This window comes from Homo sapiens, chromosome 5 (assembly GCF_000001405.40).
Source record: "Homo sapiens chromosome 5, GRCh38.p14 Primary Assembly".
In the NCBI taxonomy this organism is placed as follows: domain Eukaryota; kingdom Metazoa; phylum Chordata; class Mammalia; order Primates; family Hominidae; genus Homo; species Homo sapiens.
Window position 1 is genome coordinate 29,168,161 of NC_000005.10, and position 23,104 is coordinate 29,191,264.

Genomic DNA, 23,104 nt, shown 5'->3' on the forward strand with positions numbered 1-23,104 from the left:
ACTAGTGATGGGATTTCTCCATGTTGGTCAGGCTGGTCTCAAACTCCCGACCTCAGTTGATCCACCCGCCTCGGTTCCCAAAGTGCTGGGATTACAGGAGTGAGCCACTGCGCCTGACCTTATGTGGCAGTTTTAATGGATTGCCAGATTATGGGGTAAAAATTACTGGATCTGAATATTTTAATTCATGATTATAGTTCGAATCTACATCAGGAGACAGTAATATAAATTTAATTCCCAGCATCAAATTTTATTTTTAATTTGTTTACTGCAAGTTCATTTTCATACAAAGAATGCAGAAAGACTAAATATATCCGTCATTTTTTTCATAGTTGAAGGGCTTTTCTTTTATGAAATAGAGATTGATAGTTTGTTATATAATTTTAATGTAAATTTTAATAGACTTGATTAAATTACTAGTTTGTACAATCATAAACCTACAGGTAATCTCTATATAAAATGAATTTAAAAATAAATAATTTGGATATCTTTATTGACTTTTCCCCTCATTTATAGAATAGTATATTTTAATTATATTGATTAACAAAAACAAAGACACATAAGTAGAACAACTTAAAAATCCCCAGCATATCTACATAGTAGGACAATAAGGGACTTAAAAAGATTCCACTGAGAAAAGAATATTAAGAATTTGCAACATTTTTATCTATGTGGGAAATTACTTTAGGTGCCTTTTTATGGTTATTACTATTGCTTGAAAATAAAAAGACTTAAAGAAATATGACAATTATAGTAGGTGCTGGAATTTTAGTAAATTTTCTGGCACTGACTCCAGGCTCTACTTTGTTTATGGCTTTGGGAAATGTATTTAACCTCTCTGAGCTTCAGTTTCTTCCACTGAAAAAGGAAAATAATTATGGCACTCACTTTCTAAGGTTGGTTTAAAAATTGAATGAGATAATATATAAAAAATGCTTTGCATAGTGGATGGCACGTAATAGACACTGAGTGAACATTGGCTATATAATAATGTAAGAAGATATTTATAATCCATTTTTCTTTGATATTCAAAATGAACTTTAACATGTTTATGTCAGGCAAATAGAATTATACCAATTTCACATAATATACATTTCAGAGATAAGTCTAGCTCACTCACCCACTTATAATAATCTGAGAATTTGAACTTTTGGCCCTAACAAAAAGCATTTTACCTATAAAAATAAGAATTTACAACACCTTTCTGATATGTGTAGAGGAAAGAGTTTGCTTATTTTCTACCAATATGATAAATGCTTCCAAGATGCAGTTTCTGCATAATACAGAATCATTGAAATAATCGAAGTAATCAGTCAATTATCAGGTTATCTTGATACCAATTTGTTTTCTCTCTCTCTCATGTTCCCTCTCTCTCTCGTTCTCTTTCTCTCTCTCTCAGGTAAAACAGCATCCCCAGGATAAACAGGTGAGGAATCACAGAGCAATTTAAAAAGTATTACAAGATACATAAAATCATATATTATGAAAGGAAACACTCAAGTGAAAATGCCATTTATACTCTAATAATGTAGTCTTACTTTGTATCTTGATACACACAAACACTTTCTCATTTGACAGAATAATATACCTTTGTTCAGCTGAGGGTGTTTTGGAATTAATAATAAAGAATGAGGTGGTTTATGGAATACTATGCAAGGAAACTTCTAACTTTTAAAAAAATATTACATGAGGGATTTAGTCAAGAGCTAAAAAAAAAAAAAAAAGGCAAGCATAGTGGTGAGGAAAAGATATTATCATTAATTACTTTTCAAGGTTGTCTGCTGCCTGCAGATTTGTTAGCTCCGTCATGGAATATGTCACAAGGGAGTTACTTTTGAAGGAGTAACAGAAGAGTGTGAAAAATCTCAATATGATGCATGAGTGTAATCTCCTCTTTGCAGATGTTAATTCCCTGCTTGCTGCAACTAGGAAGCAAGTGCCAACATATTTGGGAATGCTCCTTCCTGCTGGACAGCACACAGACAAGTTGGAAAGGAATCCTATAACAAGCTAGCTGCCATGCATATGGAATGAAGCTTAGTTAAAAAGTCTTTCCAAGTGCTTGAGTATTTTTAGATGATATTTAGCCCCCTTTAAATTGAAAGACGAAATGCAGCAATTGAAACTGAGTATGTACTCTGATCTTGGTGGGGAGGTAATTCCCCATAAGATGTTGTGTCTCTGATGAACTCTCAACAAATTCAAAATATAGGATGTTATCAAACTTGCCCTTTTTCACGGAGCACTTTCTTTAAAAAAATAATGATAGTAAAAGAAAACCTAAAGAAACATTTTCAATTTTCAAGGTCACATAGGATAACTTTGAAAGTCTAAGTTCATAAAAACAACAACAACAAAAAAATCTAAAGAAAAGTAAAAACAAGGATCAGGAAAAGATCATAAAAAGATTGACCATCTAAACAACAAACATTGGCTTTCTAAAAGAAAAACATATATTTATTTGGGAATAGAGCATTGCAATGAGAATACTCATGCCATATTAAACCATGTGGATATTTAGAGATGTAAAGAAAAACTGTGGTTTCTAAAGGAAAAAGAATGAGGAGAATTACATAATTGTTTTGAAAGCATTATCCCTGCCTACAAAGGTCACAAGGGTGATGCCAGTCTGAGTTTGGACAGGCAATTGCTGGGCAGATATCTCTGCAGAAGTATTTTGTGTAAGGTTGTGATGGTCTTTGTACAAGGGTGTGGTTTTTGCAGAGGTTACTGTGATACTTTTTGTTATTACGCATACAAACATGAGGACTTTCTCCTCACTGCCTTTCCTGGCTCTATTTGTGGGGGATTTTTTTTTTTAACATTAGTAATTCCATTTTGATTCTGACAATTTTCACAAGATTATAAAGTTTATATTTTTCCCATGGAAAAATTAAATATATAACTTAAAATATTGAACAAAAAGTGGAGGATTTTTTAAAAATAGAAATGTTTTCAGTATTAATATAAACTTCTAACTGGTCACACATGATAATCCAACAGATGGCCTTAACTATCTAATAAAACAGTCATTCTATATGAACAAATGCAGAAGAAAATAGGTTTTCTAAGTGTTTTATTCGGTTCTAATTGTCCTAATAATAGCTTAAACACATTGTCCATGTACTGAGAACTTTTATTAACATCCCTTGGGATTATAAATATAAGAAGTGGAGAGCTAATATTGACTTTTTAGTGTTTGCAATCCACAATTTTATAAACTACAAATGTGTAAAATAATTTAATTTCTAGATAACTCTAAAATACTCTTATTTTCTTAATTTGACACACGAGGAAACCGAAGAACAGCACAATCATTTTGCATTCCCTAGTGGTTAATTTTTGTCAGATCTGGGATTTGAACCACTGTTATGTATTGCCAAAATGGTCTCCTAAACCTTTTTGTAATCAGATAAATTTCCAAGGATGGAAGAATTAAGAGTTTTTCTCTAGAAAAAAAACAATGTATGTACCTATTATTTATAAATGAAATGAGAAAAAGAACAAGAAGCAGCAGGAGAGAAGCAATAGAGAGATAAAGAATTAATTAATTAAGAATTATACCCTATTAAACCTGAATACCTACAGATAAAAATAAGCCAGCATTTCTCGAAAGTTCAAAGGTGTGTCTGTGTTGGGGGATGGGGGGGCAGGGGCAAAGACGGCATTTCTGTTAACAGTTATTTTGATATAAGCTTAATTATTTTCATTCTAGGCAAATCTAATCTGATTTTAAGATAGCAATATTGAAAAATGGGACAGAATGGCTTAAAAGTAACCATTGTACAATAATGAGGTGAATGCATCTCGTTCATCTCATAAAACAGTGAAGTGTTAAAGCCAAATTCAGCTGTAATTTTCATTTGTTTTCTATCTCTCAAGGAATACTACACTCTTCCTTAAATAACAAAAACTGCGGCTGGGCGTGGTGGCTCACACTTGTAATCCCAGCACTTTGGGAGGCCGAGGTGGGCGGATCACGAGGTCAGGAGATGGAGACCATCTTGGCTAACACGGTGAAACCCCGTCTCTACTAAAAATACAAAAAATTACACAGGCGCGGTGGCGGGCGCCTATAGTCCCAGCTACCCGGGAGGCTGAGGCGGGAGAATGGCGCGAACCTGGGAGGCGGAGCTTGCAGTGAGCCAAGATCGCGCCACTGCACTCCAGCCTGGGCGACAGAGCAAAACTTCGTCTCAAAAAAAAAAAAAAAAAAAAAACTGGAAAATTTGTTCTAAACAGCTTCATGGGAAGAGATAATGAGCTATGCAGCTCAACATAATTCAACAAATATTTGTTGAGTATCTATACTAGAACCTGTTCCAGATGTTTGAAATACTTCAGTGAACATACCATTTTTTATAGAAAAAAGACCACTTTCTTTACCTTTGTGGAGCTTGCATTCTATCAGTGGGAGACATACACTCCACCATTGTTACACTAAGTAAGTATAATATTTAGCCAATTCTTATAAATTGTATGTTACCTCAGCATCCATTTTGAAAATAGGTTTAACTTGCACATACCAGAAGCTTGGCTTAGTGACCCTCAAAGGAGTTTTCACTTCCTCCAAAGTCCTATATGTGGTCGCCTCCGATATCTGCCGTATACAACTGTCTCCTGGTGACCACCTCCCTGTGAGACAGCAGATACAACCTACCCCTCTGGCCTTCTCACCTCTCGTGGACTGTGTAGATGCTGCAGTGGCCCCTGCTCAGTTACAGTGTGACTATTGGACTTGTTCCTGCTTGCTATAAGCCCACTGTATTAGTCCATTCTCACGCTGCTAATAAAAACGTACCTGAAACTGCCTAATTTATACAGAAAAGAGGTTTAATTGACTCACAGTTTTGCATGGCTGGGGAGGCCTCGGGAAACTTACAATCATGGCGGAAGGGGAAGCAAACACATCCGTCTTTACATGGTGGGAGGAGAGAGAAGAATGAGAACTGAGTGAAGAAGGAGGCCCCTTAAAACCATCAGATCTCCTGAGAATGAACTCACCATCAGGGGAATAGCATGGGGGGGAAAGGCTGCCATGATTCAATTACCTCTCACTGGGTCCCTCCCACTATGTGTGAGGATTAGGGGAACTACAATTCAAGATGATATTTGTAAGGCCGAGCATGGTGGCTCACGGCTGTAACCCCAGCGCTTTGAAAGGCCAAGGCAGACGGATCTTCTGAGGTCAGGAGTTCAAGACCAGCCTGGCCAACATGGCAAAAACCCATCTCTACTAAAAATACAAAAATTAGCCAGGTTTGTTGGTGGACGCTTGTAATTCCAGCTACTTCGGCGGCTGAGGCAGGAGAATCGCTTGAATCCGGGAGGGAGAAGTTGCAGTGAGCCAAATGGTGCCACTGTACTCCAGCCTGGGTGACAGAGCAAGACTCCATCTGAAAAAAAAGAAAAAAAAGAAAAAATGATATTTGGGTAGGGACAGTGACAAACTATATCACCCACCAATTAAAACTTCCCTTGGAAACCTGCTTAGATAATGCCCTTAGCCCCCAAAAAAGGCTTCAACTCACAGGTCTTTCTGCCTTTCTTACTCTCTACCTGATGGTTGAATGTGTGTGCTATATGGCTTCCCATTTCCTATTGTCCCTGCAAGACTTGCCCTTTTTTCTCTGGATCTGTAAGTAATAAACTGCTTCTGTTATTTCATGTGTTTTCTTGAGTTGCCTCCTCTGTGGCTCACCTGAGCAACACACCAAAACCTATCTTCTTTCCTAGTCAGAGTGCTCCTAGAGAGTGGCTATGGTAGAAATAAACTGGACACAAGTCAGACAAGAACCACGAAAATGTCTGCCCATATAAATGAGTTTCCTGTGAAAGGGACCAGTGATCACAAATTGGATACTTAAATATTAGAATGTATACAGGGATAAAGAAGCATTCTGTGAAAGGCACATTGTCATAGGTACAACCAAATACAAATCCTCTGGAGCCCCATCAGGGCATGGCCAGAGTTGATAGCTAATCTCCTAAAAGAGATCTTGAGACACACACAGGAAAAAAGCACTTTGGCAAAATACAATCATAGCAAGATTATGTTATGTATAGGCATTGGAAGTATGGATTATGATTTTAAAAGTGAGACTGTGGTAGGCCTCAGTAAGAAGAGCACATGTGAGCTAGTGAGTAGAGGTAAAAGCATTTGTTATAAAGATATCTGGGGAGACAACCAGTACAAATGCCGTAAAGTGAAAGTGTGGCTGGCATGTTCCAGGAATTTCAAGAAATACTCCTCCCTCCGTGCCCTCTGTGATATGAAGGCCATGAGTTATCGGGAGAGCAGAAGATGAGGTTAGAGAAGAATTAGAGGCCCAACCACACAGAGGGACTTGTACCAATGTAAGGATATTGTGTTGTTACTTTTAGTTACATGGAAACCTATAAGCAGGATTTTGAGCAGATAAGTGACATGATTTCACATATGATTAAAGAATCACTCCAGCTGCTCTGCTACAAATAGACAGCATGGGGGCAAAGATAGAGCACAGAGACAGTGAGGAAGCCACTGCAGAAGTCTAGACTAGTAATGATAGAGGCTTGGGTTAGAATGATGAGTAGTGAGATATCAATGAGATAGTTAGAAGTAGTCAGAGTCTGTTTACATTTTAAAGGCAGAGACAGAAATGTTTCTGAGTGTCTGATGTGAAGGAAAAATATACTTAAGTATAACATCACATGCCATTTGTGTCTGAAGGCATGAAAAGCTGAAATTGTCATCAACTGAATTGGAAAAGGTGGTAGGTGAAGTAGATTTTGGGAGAGATAGGAAGGATTCAGTATTAGATATGTGGAATTTGAAATGTCTATAAGACACTCTAGTTGAGAAGTTGAGTAAGTAGTTTGATTAATCTGTATTTTCAAGAGAGAGGTCCGTATTGGAGATGGTATTTGGAATTCATTGGCACATAAGCCATTTGATTGAATGAGATAACCAATGAGATAACCACTGCAGTGGAGAAGTAGAGGAGAGATTTGAGGATTGGCTCTTGGAAGTCAATATTATTGTGTAAGATATAAAAGAAGAAAAAGAAAGAAGACAAGAGTTAGGAAAGCAAAGAAGAAGAGTAATATCCTGGAGGCAAAATGAGAAAAGTGTATCAAGAAGGAGATAAAGGTGGGCTGCATTATATGGTTCTGATGGGCAGTGTAAAATCAAATATTAGATTTAGCAAGGTAGAGGTCAATGATTACACCAAGAGCACTTTTGCTAGAGTGGGGATAACTGTATGATCAGTGTAGCTTCATGATAGGATATGTAAAGGAAATTTGGGAATAGTGTATCTACACAACTCTTTCAGGGAGGTTTACTGAAAAGGGAAACAGAGAAGTAGATTGGTACTTAGTAAAGGAAATAGGATCAGGTCAAGATAAATTACATTTTTAAATGAGAGAAATTTCAGTTCATTATTATGCTGATGACAATGACCTGATGGGATTGTTAATTTTATGTATCAACTTGGTGAGTGTATTGTCCACAGTTGCTTGGTCAAATACCAGTCTAGAGGCTGTTGTTAAGGTATGTTTTAGGCGTGGTTAATATTTAAATCAGTAAATTTGTATTAAAGCAGATTACCCTCCGTAAGTGGGGTGGACCTTCTCCAATCAGCTGAAGGCCTTAAGAGAAAAAATCACTGAGGTTCCACTAAGGGAAAATAATTCTGACTTTAGATTGGCCTTCAGACTGAAGACTCCAGCATCAACTCTCCCCTGATCTCCAGCCTGCTGCTCTTCAGCATTCACACTTGCCAGTCCCCACAATGGTGGGAGCCAATATGGGGGATACTGGCATTCAGTTTAACACCCTGCTCTACAGTGATTAAGGAGCAGTTAGAGGATGTGGTATAGATACCATACATGCATAGATTTAGTGACTGGAATCTGTAAGTTTGCTTTTGGTGGTGGAAGCCACAATTTCATCAGCTGCAACTTAGGAATAGGAAGCATGGAGGTTTGGAGAGAGGAAAGGACGGCTAATAATTAAGATTTAATGTGCTAAGGATATTTAGTATGGTTGCTAAAATGCATTAAGTTTCCACTTGAAGTTCACGTCAAAAATCTTCAGTGAAACCTGTCAATCTGGTTGTGTATTTTTCTCCATTCATGTCAAACCCCATGGGTGCAGATAAAAAACAGCTGGAGAGTTAGATTTAATCAGAGTGTGGTTTTGTCATTCAAGTAAAAAGAAACAAGAGAGACCATGGGAATCAAGTGTGTGATCATGGATTTCAACTGGGTAAAAAAGGGGGCAAAGACTTTAGAGGATAAAGAACAGTGAAATAACAGAATTAAAGGATTTATGATTCTTGGGGTCTGGGTTAGATAGTGAACAGTAAATACAGGAAACCAGATAATGTTATGTCTTTTCACAAAGGGACCGTATTTTTTAAAAACAGAGTGTTCTTTTAAACCAGTACTCCTCATGAAATAATGAGAAAGAAAGTCTTAAAAAGAAATTTCTACAAAAAAAAATTCTATAGTGATACAAGGATTGCCACCATGTCCAATTGTAGGCCCTAGAAAACTAGTCTGAACCATATAAATACTATTTTTTATTTGTACTACAATGTAAGTAATTCTGGTCCAGGTGTCCCAATCATGTAGACGGGCCAGAGGCACTGGATCACGGAAATATGTGCCCACATGTTTAGAGCAAATTGCTTTGTTACTTGGCAGGAATCAATAAGGAAAGCTGGAATATTCTTTTTTCTCACAGCTATGTCATTTCTATATTGCCTGACCTAAAGGAAAAGAAAAAAAAGGGCCAATGTCTTCATTACAAGATAGACTCCTGAGAATGCTTATTCCAGCAAAGAAGAAGATCTTCCTAAAAAACAAGGTCTAACCAATGTTTTTAATATCATTATTTTTTTTTTGGCTTGGTTGTGGAGTGAAATAAAAAGTCTTGCTCTCTCCTCGTTGTATATTGGGCAATGGGAGATTAAAGAAGGAGAGAAGATTAAAGAAGGATAGGATAAAGAGAATGGGAGATTAAAGGATAGGCACCAAGTCTTCTCACAGGCCTATGAATAGATATAAGGCAGGGTATATATAAAAATATTTTGGACCCTATGTACAATATCTATAAATTATCAGAATTTCAAAACAATGTCTTTTAAGAGACTTTAAAGACATGCAGTTTACACAGTATCAAACCAGTAACAGAATATAAAAATTGTTTGATAAACATTTATAATTCCATAGAACTGTACTGTATCCAAGCAAGGGAATGTGTTGTATGTCAGCCAATGCCAACGAAAGCTAGGGTAAACCTTTGAAACACAGGCAATTCTCTGTGGGACAGTTCAATAATAATTGAACTATTGCACCTTTTCCATCGTGTTTGTAGATGTTTTTAGCTAAATTTTGATCTCAGGTTTAGCTTTGTGTGATTTAAGGTAGCAGTAAAAGTAAATGTCTTGAACCTCTAGGAGTATGGTGAAGATCAAATCACATAACATATATGAACAAAGTAAAACATGAAAATTGTTAATATCCAAATAAAATCTAAGTTTATTAGAACAAGTTATATATATATATACACATATATATGTGTACATACACACACACACACACACACACACACACACACATAGGTTTCCTCAGTTAAACATTGCCTACAATAAGTCAGGAACACAAAATGAAAATCAATATCAATGTCAAAGAACTTTTTAAAAATATAGCTATTATTTCATCAAATAAAATGCTACCTGCTGCCTGCTTTATAAAGTTAACCATTTTTATGTCAATTGACAATTTCAGTGAATTGGATAATCAACACATTTATTTTATCAAAATGTTTAATACGTAACTATTAAAATACATTTATGGATATATGTATTTAAAATTAAGTTGGCTATTGTGTACTTATTCTTTCAATATCATAGACAAGCCTCTACTCACTGTTTGCATACCCTTTTCGCCTTCCTTGCCTCGCCTTGAGAAAGAAGTGAAATATAATATAGTTTGGACAACAGGAATCACAATAGTGCAATGGGCTAAGGATAACCCTTTTTTATTGTCTGGAGCAAGTGGAAAGAAAATGATGAGATGAAATGTTAGCACTGTATGTAAATGGGATAAAACAAAATATGGAAGAGATTCTCTTTTAGCAAACTTACACAAGTGTTCAGAGCTTAGGGAAAACACTAATATGCTTAGCTCCTGAGTTTTGGTGTCAGTGAAATACAGGCATGCATTTTTCTTTCTAAAGTACAATAAATCTTATTCTCGAGAAAGTTCATGCTGTTAAATAGGCTGATTCAGATGCAAGATAAGCACGGGGAGAGATTTTCTTCAAAATTAAAGTTCTATCCTTTATTAAAAACACAGTCCTAGTGACAGAAACATGTTCCAGAAATGTGCTTAGTTATAATTTGAATGGAATTATTTGCACAATTCAAAATTATAATGCTTTAGTTTATCGTAAAGATCATTTATATGTCTAAGGAATTATCTGGAAATATTTCCCATAAAAATACATATTAAAGTAACAGAAAATTATGGTTTATTAGGAAAATTATCTTTTATTATATGAATAGGTGACATTCTTAATGTGTAGGCAGATAATGAAATGTCCTTCAAAACATTGTAAGACAGATGCATTTATTTTTCAGTGATGATAACATGTTTACTATAGTCTTTTATTCATTAATTCAAAACATTTATATTTAATATTTTCTATCTGTTATGTTCTGTATGCAAAGTTTTAAAAACATAATATACAGAACATAACATATAGGTGAGAAATAATGTATAGAAATTATTACAAACAAATTAGAATATTATGAATTCTGAAGAAAATAAAATGTGGAAAAAAACTCAGTTCAGAGTTAGCCAAAAAAAGGAAAACCCTTGTCTTCAAGAGTTTAAATCCTGCAATTCATCTATTTCCAAGTGTATAATGATATTGAAATGTATGTCACATACGATGTAAGAAATGGAGGTAAAAATAATAAATAAATCAGTTGCAATTCTTATGTTACAGTTCTTTTGAAGACATTATAAATAGATACATGTATGTGTGTATTTTATTAAATGAATGTGTGTGTATTTAGATGACAAGTGATGCAATTACTATGGTGAAAAAAGTACAAACTGCTGAATATAAGGCTGAATGGATAATTTAGTCATTATGTGTCGTAAGCAGATTATAAGTCACAGTCTGTAAGAAAAGAAAAAGTAAAACAAGATAGACTCCTGAGAACACTAATTCCAGCAAAGAAGAAGAAGATCTTCCTAAAAAACAAGGTAAAAAACAAGGGGATAAAAAGAAACAAATATATAATTCAGTTTTTGAAAGGGTACATTAGAGAGCTTTGTGAGACCTCAAAGATATATCAGGAGACAAGAAATGTCTCTTGTCAAACATCAAGAGACAAGGTTGTGATAAAGTGCTGGAAGGAAGTTGCTATTCTTTCCATAGTGTTACTCTTTGAAACCAGAGTTAAAAAGTAAAATTGTCTATTTAAAAACTAAATTTTATGACTGGGAACTGTGCCTCATGCCTGTAATCCCAACGCTTTGAGAGGCCAAGACAGGAGAATCGCTTGAAGCCAGGAGTCTGAGACCAGCTTGGACAACAAAGCAAACCCTGTCTCTACTAACAATAAAAAATAAAAATAAAGTAGCCAGGCACGGTGGTGTGCACCTGTAGTCCCAGTTATTTGGGAGGCTGAGGCAGGAGGGATACGTGAGCCCAGGAGTTTGAGGCTTCAGTGAGCTATAATCATGCAACTGCACTCCAGCCCAGGGAAGTGAGACCTCATTTCTAAAAATAAAAAATAATAATAATAAAGAATGAAAACACTATATATTTCACACACACGTATATTACATTTCATAACTATCAAGCACTTGAAATTTAATTACAGAACTGCATTGTGCAACTATGGAAAGACTGGGAGCAAAAAGGGCTCCAGCTTGAGTCCTAAGTTACTCCAAAACTACATGACTATTAAAGAGGGAGCAAGTGGAAAAGGACACCAAGAAAGAAGAAACAAGAAGGGGGAGGGGTAGAGAGAGAGAGAGAAGAAAGAATTGGCAGAAGGAGAAAAGAGAAAGTGCATGAGGAGCTATATCATACAAGAAATAAAAAATGTATTACTAATGAAAGAAATAAATGCTGCCATGAAATCTAGTAAAGTATGGTACAGTGAAATATGTAAAAGTTGCCCTTCACTTTGGTATGGAAATTGATGGTGACTGTAGGAGAAATTTTGGTTGAGTGATAGTAGCAGATCCCAAGTAAGAAGGTGTGTAACAAAATGGACTGGAGTGTAGCAAAATACTGGCTTTATATGAAAACAACTCTTAGAGTCCTATGGCTATGAAGATGGTAGAGTATAAGGCAGTAGCTGTAGGCATTATTTGTAATTAAAGGACGTAACAGGTGTGGTATTCTGAATTCCCACTGAATTCACCAACAATAGACCTGATCAAAACAACATACTGCTTTTAAAATAAAAGTGCTACACATTTTAGAATGCATTTATGGAAATATGTTATCTTTTAAAACTGTATTTGAATATGCATTAACATTTTGTCTTTATTAAGACACAATAACTATTGTGAATTATTTTATTGAGATAGAATTATGTAAGATAAATTTCAATGCAATTAAATTCTTTTTCTATATAACACAAAGAACTTTCGAATCTTAAAATCTTCCATTCCATATACTCTTTTAATTTATTGAGCAAAATGTAAAAACACAGGAATAGCTTTGCATACTCTAGTCATTTTATTCTTCAAAAGATTTAGCAAAGGTTATAAGAGAAATGGAAATTCTAAATATAAGTTAATGTAATATAGTCTGAAGATACACTTTTCTAAATTATCAATAAAAGTGAAATCACACAACAAATATTTATATTGCATTTAAACAAACAAAAGTAGGACAGTTCTATATTTAGAAACATTGAGAATTGTTAAGAAATATTAATTATTAAAGGTAAGTAACATTATCCAATTGTGGGTTTTTTAGTACATGTATATCTTTTCTGTAGATCTGAGTAATAATTTGAAAAGTAAAGTTTAATACACATACAATATAATAGTAATTTTCACCAAATCTATAATATTCTATGTGAGTAAGTGATTAGAATATCCCCAAGCAGCTACAAACGTTCATTTTAAGATGTAATTTAAAATCAATTACTTGAATAAAAGTCAAGTTATGGAACATAATTCCCATTTTACAGGGATACGTTTAAAGAAGCTAGATTGAGTCCCTATATGGCTATTTTTTAACTTCTGATTCATAATTTTTAATAGTCTGTCTTCATAGAATTTCCAGTAAAATAGGTAATCTGTGAATATATGACGCAATGTGAAAATGGGAAAACCAAAACGTCTCTCAGTAAATGAAAGCCAGTGTGTCCAAATGTGTTTTGAAATTTTAAAATGCTATTGTGACCAACTGCAATTCTGAAAATGTCGTAAAACAGATTTATATTAGAAGGGAAAAAGATATAAATTACATACCACTTGAAATAAAATGGTCTTTTTAAACATACTGGGTCATTAGAGAGCAAGCCCCACCCCACAACTTCCACAGTGGTCCCAAGCTTCTCTCTATCCTGTGACTCCAAACTTCATGATATAATAAAGTGAGGAAGTATTCTCCATTCTTTCCAGGATTATCCATCTCTCTTATTCATATTGACTCATGAAAAAATTAATAGGACCACCAAGGCTTTCAAATCAGCTTCATTGTACTAAGAGTTGTGACATATTATCTTACTTGCTTTTTGCAAGACCCCACTTTATTTTACATTTTCTCATTTAAAGACATTTTTCACTTTCCTTCACCACCACCTACTTCAACATAGGCTTGACGTGTGCTATATGTGGATATGTGTGTATTATGTTATATTATGCAGATTGTTCTGGCTATACATTTGATTGCATAAGCGCTATGTATTACAGATCCCATTCCATTGTTAAATTTTTAAAATTTGACGTTGTCCTTAATTTCTACCCATATTGTTTTTAACTGTTCCATAATATTCCACAGTACAAGACTACATTATATGTACCTATTGGCAGAATAATGAACACTTAGAGTGGCCTCTAAATTTTGACTACAATCCTTAACATATCCATGTGTTTCCTTTTTAAACATATATAAAGAAATTTCTGAGATATATTCATAGAAATGTAACCAAAGAATGATAGGGTATACAATACTTAGTTTAATTAAGTTATTTTAAATTTCTTGTCATAATGCTTATACCACTTTATACTATTCTTGGTACATAAAGCTTTCCATTATACCATAATTTCACCGATGCTAGATATTATCTACCTTTATAAACTTTGACAAGCTCTTATAAAATAGTATATAAATTTAAATTGAGTATTTCTCTAGTTACTCAAAAGTATGATCATCCTTTCCTGTATTTGTTGGATTTTCAGATTTCTCAAACTGCCTACTTTGTTCTTAGTGAACTGTCTTTTCGGTGTACTTTCTATAATTTTTTGTTTGTTTTGAAGATCAATATTTTTCTTTCAGAATTAAATATCTGATAATTGTTCTATCTTTACTTCAAGAGGTAAATTATATCCATAAGAACAATTTTCCTCTTCCTGTGATAAAGGGCAATTTATTAAAAAATGACTTTTTAAGTATAGTAATCCCTTCTAAATATATATAAGGCCCAACACATGTGTTATTTGTTTATTTGTTTTGTCATCTTGGGATTATGAAAGCTATAAAATGACTTTAGTGGTTGAATGCAAATCCTTGAAATGTGTTTACTACATATTTATGGCAATATCAAAATATAAGTAGATATGTTACTATAGAGTTTGCAATTAGGAATAGGGGATTTTAAAAGTTAATTAGTTCCAAAGAATTACATATCAACAAAGACATAAAAAGTGGTTAAATGAAAAATGATTTGTGGTGAAACTTTGGAAATAATAAAATTGTAAACAAGTACAAATAAGATAAAAATTATGGAAAATTACAACAAACAAAACAACTCTAGGTATCTATTGATTCCTGAAAACACCTGTTCTTTAAATTCTCATTGTATCAACACTAACCGTATTTTGAAGACCTCATTTTATAGCAAAAAAAAGGATGCATAATAATAATAATGAATACTATCTTTTCTTTTCTAGGATTACTCAAAGTTATTGAGAAGAAATACAGGTAGATGCATCATTACTTGTTTCTCCCTTGACATAGCCAGAATTCCATGCTAGTGAGTTTCTGGTGTAGAGAAGTCAGATCTTTTGTCATAGTAGAGAATATTGACTTAATTATTTTAGCTGTTGCATGATTATCTCTAGTAAGGAAGCACAAGTTTCTTAGAATTCATTTGTCCAATGCCAAAATTCATACAGTGTTAGAATTCAATAGAAAATAGACATCCTGTGAATACTGATTAACTAATGCATTCATTAAATATGTACAAATTTGACTGTATCTCTTTATAAACTTACAGTCTAGCAATAAGTTAATTAGAATGAAAAGCTGAGGTAATTCAAAAAATATATGAAGACCCTAGGCTTTGGGGGCACAAAACTGTGAGGTACCTAATTTGGTTTAGATGAGGTCTCAGGAATAATTAAAAATATTTTCTGAAAGAAGCTGTAACTGAGATTACTTTTAGATGACTAGTAGTAATTAGGTCAGAGAAGGGATTGGAAAGGACATTTTAATATAAAGGGAACTTCATATATGTATTAATCTGTTCTGACACTGCTAATAAAGACATACTGTGAGACTGGATAATCTATAAAGAAAAGAGGTTTAATGGACTCACAGTTTCACATGGCTGGGGAGGCCTCACAATCATGGCAAAAGATAAAAAAAGAGCAAAGGAATGTCTTACATGGCGGCAGGCAAGAAAGAGTACGTGCAGGGGAACTCCTCTTTAAAAAACCATCAGATCTCATGAGACTTTCCACTAACACAAGAACAGCATGGGAAAGACTTGTCCCTCTGATTCAATTACCTTCCACTGGGTCCCTCCCAGGACATGTGGGAATTAGGGGAGCTACAATTTAAGATGAGATTTGGTTGGGGACACAGCTAAATCATATCAATGTAGAAGGCAGAAAGGACAAATTATTGGAACTTAGGCTGTGAAGCAGAAAGAATTGTGACGTGAGTTTAGAAAAAGGATTCAAGTAGTAGAATATATATAGCCCTATACACCATCTTGAAATTTGTTGTGACTTGCTTTATGGGCCAGCATATTGATCAATTCTGGGAAATGTTCTCTGTGTATTTTAAAATATTGTATTAAATATGATTATATTAGTGCATCAGGCTATTTTCATTATATTGTTTTAAATTTTATCGGTTGCTTCTGGGTGTTTTACTTTTTTTTTTTTGTACTCTCTTAGTATATTCGAACTACTGTAACAAAATATCTTAGAGTAACTTAAGAACAACAGATATTTATTGCTCACAATTCAGGAGGCTGGAAAGTCCAAGATCACGGCACTGCAGATACAGTGTTTGGTAAAGGATCTGTCTGCTTCACACATGGTGACTTCTTGTTGTGTTCTTGCATGATGGAAGGGAAAAATAAACTCGCTTTCACTTATTTTATAAAGGCACTAATCTTATTCAAAAAGGTTCCACCCTCATGACCTAATAAACTCCTAAATATGCCACCCTTTAATACTATTGTTTTGGGGTTTGGGCTTCAACACATGAATTTGAGTGGGATACAAACATTCAAACCATAGCATGCACTTTACTATAATGTACTTAAGTATGCTTTAAAAATATGTATTGTCTATCCATGGGGTAATTAAAAATTTTTTAGTTTATGGCTTGATGTTTTTCATAATCTTGGAAAATATAGAGAGCTTGTATAACTTCTAATATTAATTCTATTCCTTAAAACTCTACTCTCTCTGGTCATTCAATGACATGCATTTTACACATTTTCACTTTGTACCGTATGTCTCTTACATTTTTAAGAGGTTTTCTTTCTTCCTCGCTCTCTCCCTCCCTTTCGCCCTTCATACTGTTCTTTCTTTCTTTCTTTTCTTCTCTCTTCTGTGCCTCCTCCTTTTTTAACCATATGTAATCAACAGTCTGAGTATTGTCTAGTGTTCTATTTTCCAGTTCATTAACCTGATATTCTCCTTTGTCTAATATATAGATAAATTATCTATTGAGTATGCCATATTGCTAGTGCTTTATTTTACTTATTATACTCTTCATTTTTAAAATACAAATTTATTTTTTCTATATTTATTATGAGTAGAAATAATCAACTTTTTTTTTACATATTACAGCTTTTAAAGTTTATGTTGTTTACTTTTGACACTGACATTGTTAGTTTTGTTTCTGCCGATTTTCAGATATTTGGTCTTATCTTTTGTCATACTTGGTGCTTGTTTATTCACTTATTTGCTATTCATTTGAATACTGGTCATCTAGAAATGTCAATTTCTTGATAACAATTTGTTTTTTCTTCAAGTGAGGTTTACTGTCTCTTTTGTTAGATAGTTACATAAAGTCACATTATCTTAATCTAAACAGAGCCAGAGTATTCAAGGCTGGGATTAAGGCTTTGTAAAGGATGGCCTATTGCTGATTCACTTGCTTCTAGAGCATAGCACTTCCTGGGTCATAACGGCAATGTAGATTTTATGCTTCCTTCTTGGCAGCCCATGAACTCCAATGTTTGTCTCCAATATAAGACAACAAATATTCTGCTTGGCTTTTTGGTTTCTTAGTTTTCATTCCTTAGCCTTTCATATGAGCTGCTTATAGACTGGGAAATACCTCAAGACACAAATCATTGTTGCATATGCTTTAGCTCACCTCGTGGAACTGGCCTTCTGTCTGAGATTTTGCCCACTAAACCTGGTTGACTTGACAGCTTTGCAGTGACTTCAAATATAAACTGTATTCTTCTTTCTTAGGTATTTCTAATCTTTTTCTTTGGATCTGTTAGTCTATGATAAAGTAATCATCAACAGGAGATAAATTGTATTTATTTCTGACTCATTCAGTTTCAGTAATTCAAATATAAAGCAATGTATCCTAATAAAACCCCAAACCTTTTAATATATATTACATCAACAGAAATAAACACACCAGAAAATACACAAGTCACACACAAATACACACATACACAAGATGGTTTATCCTTTTTCTTTCTTTACCATAATTTTAGCTCTTAATCAAAACATAGCAAAAAAGACAAAAACATACAGATAATACATCAGTATATATGTAGGCATTAGTTACTAATAGAAAGCCAAATATTTGTATATTTTTCAATTCATAAATAATGATTTTAAGGAATACTCTAGTTTAGTATTGTCCATTGAAACATACGGCCAATATATGAGATATTTTAATTTTCTTTCTTTTTTTTTTTTGAGTATTTTATTTTATTTTCAGTAACTTCTATTTATTTATTTATTTATTTATTTATTTATTTATTATTATACTTTAAGTTTTAGGGTACATGTGCACAATGTGCAGGTTAGTTACATATGTATACATGTGCCATGCTGGTGCGCTGCACCCACTAACTCGTCGTCTAGCATTAGGTATATCTCCCAATGCTATCCCTCGCCCCTCCCCCCACCCCACCACAGTCCCCAGAGTGTGATATTCCCCTTCCTGTGTCCATGTGATCTCATTGTTCAATTCCCACCTATGAGTGAGAATATGCGGTGTTTGGTTTTTTGTTCTTGCGATAGTTTACTGAGAATGATGATTTCCAGTTTCATCCATGTGCCTACAAAGGACATGAACTCATCATTTTTATGGCTGCATAGTATTCCATGGTGTATATGTGCCACATTTTCTTAATCCAGTCTATCATTGTTGGACATTTGGGTTGGTTCCAAGTCTTTGCTATTGTGAATAATGCCGCATAAACATACGTGTGCGTGTATCTTTATAGCAGCACGATTTATAGTCCATTGGGTATATACCCAGTAATGGGATGGCTGGGTCAAATGGTATTTCCAGTTCTAGATCCCTGAGGAATTGCCACACTGACTTCCACAATGGTTGAACTAGTTTACAGTCCCACCAACAGTGTAAAAGTGTTCCTATTTCTCCACATCCTCTCCAGCACCTGTTGTTTCCTAACTTTTTAATGATTACCATTCTAACTGGTGTGAGATGGTATCTCATTGTGGTTTTGATTTGCATTTCTCTGATGGCCAGTGATGATGAACATTTTTTCATGTGTTTTTTGGCTGCATAAATGTCTTCTTTTGAGAAGTGTCTGTTCATGTCCTTCGCCCACTTTTTGATGGGGTTGTTTGTTTTTTTCTTGTAAATCTCTTTGCGTTCATTGTAGATTCTGGATATTAGCCCTTTGTCAGATGAGTAGGTTGCGAAAATTTTCTCCCATTTTGTAGGTTGCCTGTTCACTCTGATGGCAGTTTCTTTTGCTGTGCAGAAGCTCTTTAGTTTAATTAGATCCCATTTGTCAATTTTGTCTTTTGTTGCCATTGCTTTTGGTGTTTTAGACATGAAGTCCTTGCCCATGCCTATGTCCTGAATGGTAATGCCTAGGTTTTCTTCTAGGGTTTTTATGGTTTTAGGTCTATCGTTTAAGTCTTTAATCCATCTTGAATTGATTTTTGTATAAGGTGTAAGGAAGGGATCCAGTTTCAGCTTTCTACATATGGCTAGCCAGTTTTCCCAGCACCATTTATTAAATAGGGAATCCTTTCCCCATTGCTTGTTTTTCTCAGGTTTGTCAAAGATCAGATGGTTGTAGATATGTGGCATCATTTCTGAGGGCTCTGTTCTGTTCCATTGATCTATATCTCTGTTTTGGTACCAGTACCATGCTGTTTTGGTTACTGTAGCCTGGTAGTATAGTTTGAAGTCAGGTAGCATGATGCCTCCAGCTTTGTTCTTTTGGCTTAGGATTGACTTGGCAATGCAGGCTCTTTTTGGTTCCATATGAACTTTAAAGTAGTTTTTTCCAATTCTGTGAAGAAAGTCATAGGTAGCTTGATGGGGATGGCATTGAATCTGTAAATTACCTTGGGCAGTATGGCCATTTTCACGATATTGAGTCTTCCTACCCGTGAGCATGGAATGTTCTTCCATTTGTTTGCATCCTCTTTTATTTCATTGAGCAGTGGTTTGTAGTTCTCCTTGAAGAGGTCCTTCACATCCCTTGTAAGTTAGATTCCTAGGTATTTTATTCTCTTTGAAGCAATTGTGAATGGGAGTTCACTCATGATTTGGCTCTCTGTTTGTCTGTTGTTGGTGTATAAGAATGCTTGTGATTTTTGTACATTGATTTTGTATCCTGAGACTTTGCTGAAGTTGCTTATCAGCTTAAGGAGATTTTGGGCTGAGACAATGGGGTAGATATACAATCATGTCGTTTACAAACAGGAACAATTTGACTTCCTCTTTTCCTAACTGAATACCCTTTATTTCCTTCTCTTGCCTAATTGCCCTGGCCAGACCTTCCAACACTATGTTGAATAGGAGTGGTGAGAGAGGGCATCCCTGTCTTGTGCCAGTTTTCAAAGGGAATGCTTCCAGTTTTTGCCCATTCAGTATGATATTGGCTGTGGGTTTGTCATAGATAGCTCTTATTATTTTGAGATACATCCCATCAACACCTAATTTATTGAAAGTTTTTAGCATGAAGGGTTGTTGAATTTTGTCAAAGGCTTTTTCTGCATCTATTGAGATAATCATGTGGTTTTTTTTCTTTGGCTCTGTTTATATGCTGGATTACATTTATTGATTTGCGTATATTGAACCAGCCTTGCATCCCAGGGATGAAGCCCACTTGACCATGGTGGATAAGCTTTTTGATGTGCTGCTGGATTCGTTTTGCCAGTATTTTATTGAGGATTTTTGCATCAATGTTCATCAAGGATATTGGTCTAAAATTCTCTTTGTTCATTTTGTCTCTGCCCGGCTTTGGTATCAGGATGATGCTGGCCTCATAAAATGAGTTAGGGAGGATTCCCTCTTTTTCTGTTGATTGGAATAGTTTCAGAAGGAATGGGACCAGTTCCTCCTTGTACCTCTGGTAGAATTTGGCTGTGAATTCATCTGGTCCTGGACTCTTTTTGGTTGGTAAACTATTGATTATTGCCACAATTTCAGATCCTCTTATTGGTCTATTCAGAGATTCAACTTCTCCCTGGTTTAGTCTTGGGAGAGTGTATGTGTCGAGGAACTTATCCATTTCTTCTAGATTTTCTAGTTTATTTGCGTAGAGGTGTTTGTAGTATTCTCTGATGGTAGTTTGTATTTCTGTGGGATCGGTGGTGATATCCCCTTTATCATTTTTTTTGCGTCTATTTGATTCTTCTCTCTTTTTTTCTTTATTAGTCTTGCTAGCGGTCTATCAATTTTGTTGATCCTTTCAAAAAACCAGCTCCTGGATTCATTAATTTTTTGAAGGGTTTTTTGTGTCTCTATTTCCTTCAGTTCTGCTCTGATTTTAGTTATTTCTTGCCTTCTGCTAGCTTTTGAATGTGTTTGCTCTTGCTTTTCTAGTTCTTTTAATTGTGATGTTAGGGTGTCAATTTTGGATCTTTCCTGCTTTCTCTTGTGGGCATTTAGTGCTATAAATTTTCCTCTACACACTACTTTGAATGCGTCCCAGAGATTCTGGTATGTTGTGTCTTTGTTCTCGTTGGTTTCAAAGAACATCTTTATTTCTGCCTTCATTTCGTTATGTATCCAGTAGTCATTCAGGAGCAGTTTGTTCAGTTTCCATGTAGTTGAGTGGTTTTGAGTGAGATTCTTAATCCTGAGTTCTAGTTTGATTGCACTGTGGTCTGAGAGATAGTTTGTTATAATCTCTGTTCTTTTACATTTGCTGAGGAGAGCTTTACTTCCAAGTATGTGGTCAATTTTGGAATAGGTGTGGTGTGGTGCTGAAAAAAATGTATATTCTGTTGATTTGGGGTGGAGAGTTCTGTAGATGTCTATTAGGTCCACTTGGTGCAGAGCTGAGTTCAATTCCTGGGTATCCTTGTTGACTTTCTGTCTCGTTGATCTGTCTAATGTTGACAGTGGGGTGTTATAGTCTTCCATTATTAATGTGTGGGAGTCTAAGTCTCTTTGTAGGTCACTAAGCACTTGCTTTATGAATCTGGGTGCTCCTGTATTGGGTGCATATATATTTAGGATAGTTAGCTCTTCTTGTTGAATTGATCCCTTTACCATTATGTAATGGCCTTCTTTGTCTCTTTTGATCTTTGTTGGTTGAAAGTCTGTTTTATCAGAGACTAGGATTGCAACCCCTGCCTTTTTTTGTTTTCCATTTGCATGGTAGATCTTCCTCCATCCTTTTATTTTGAGCCTATGTGTGTCTCTGCATGTGAGATGGGTTTCCTGAATACAGCACACTGATGGGTCTTGACTCTTTATCCAATTTGTCAGTCTGTGTCTTTTAATTTGAGCATTTAGTCCATTTACATTTAAAGTTAATATTGTTATGTGTGAATTTGCTCCTGTCATTGTGATGTTAGCTGGTTATTTTGCTCGTTAGTTGATGCAGTTTCTTCCTATATGGTCTTTACATTTTGGCATGATTTTGCAGCAGCTGGTACCAGTTGTTCCTTTCCATGTTTAGTGCTTCCTTCAGGAGCTCTTTTAGGGCAGGCCTGCTGGTGACAAAATCTCTCAGCATTTGCTTGTCTGTAAAGTATTTTATTTCTCCTTCGCTTATGAAGCTTAGTTTGGCTGGATATGAAATTCTGGGTTGAAAATTCTTTTCTTTAAGAATGTTGAATATTGGCCCCCACTCTCTTCTGGCTTGTAGGGTTTCTGCTGAGAGATCCGCTGTTAGTCTGATGGGCTTCCCTTTGAGGGTAACCCGACCTTTCTCTCTGGCTGCCCTTAACATTTTTTCCTTCATTTCAACTTTGGTGAATCTGACAATTATGTGTCTTGGAGTTGCTCTTCTCGAGGAGTATCTTTGTGGCGTTCTCTGTATTTCCTGAATCTGAACGTTGGCCTGCCTTGCTAGATTGGGGAAGTTCTCCTGGATAATATCCTGCAGAGTGTTTTCCAACTTGGTTCCATTCTCCCCATCACTTTCAGGTACACCAATCAGACGTAGATTTGGTCTTTTCACATAGTCCCATATAAGAA

General features: G+C 35.1%; 1 long non-coding RNA gene across 1 annotated transcript in view; it reads left to right on the plus strand.

The window, feature by feature from the left end:
* LINC02109 (long intergenic non-protein coding RNA 2109) overlaps positions 1–4,815 on the plus strand; it is a 29,473-nt gene extending 24,658 nt beyond the window's left edge. The window contains exons 8-9 of the long non-coding RNA NR_130777.1: positions 1,400–1,426; positions 3,883–4,815. This is a non-coding gene — a long non-coding RNA (long intergenic non-protein coding RNA 2109). The remainder of the gene's footprint in view (positions 1–1,399; positions 1,427–3,882) is intronic.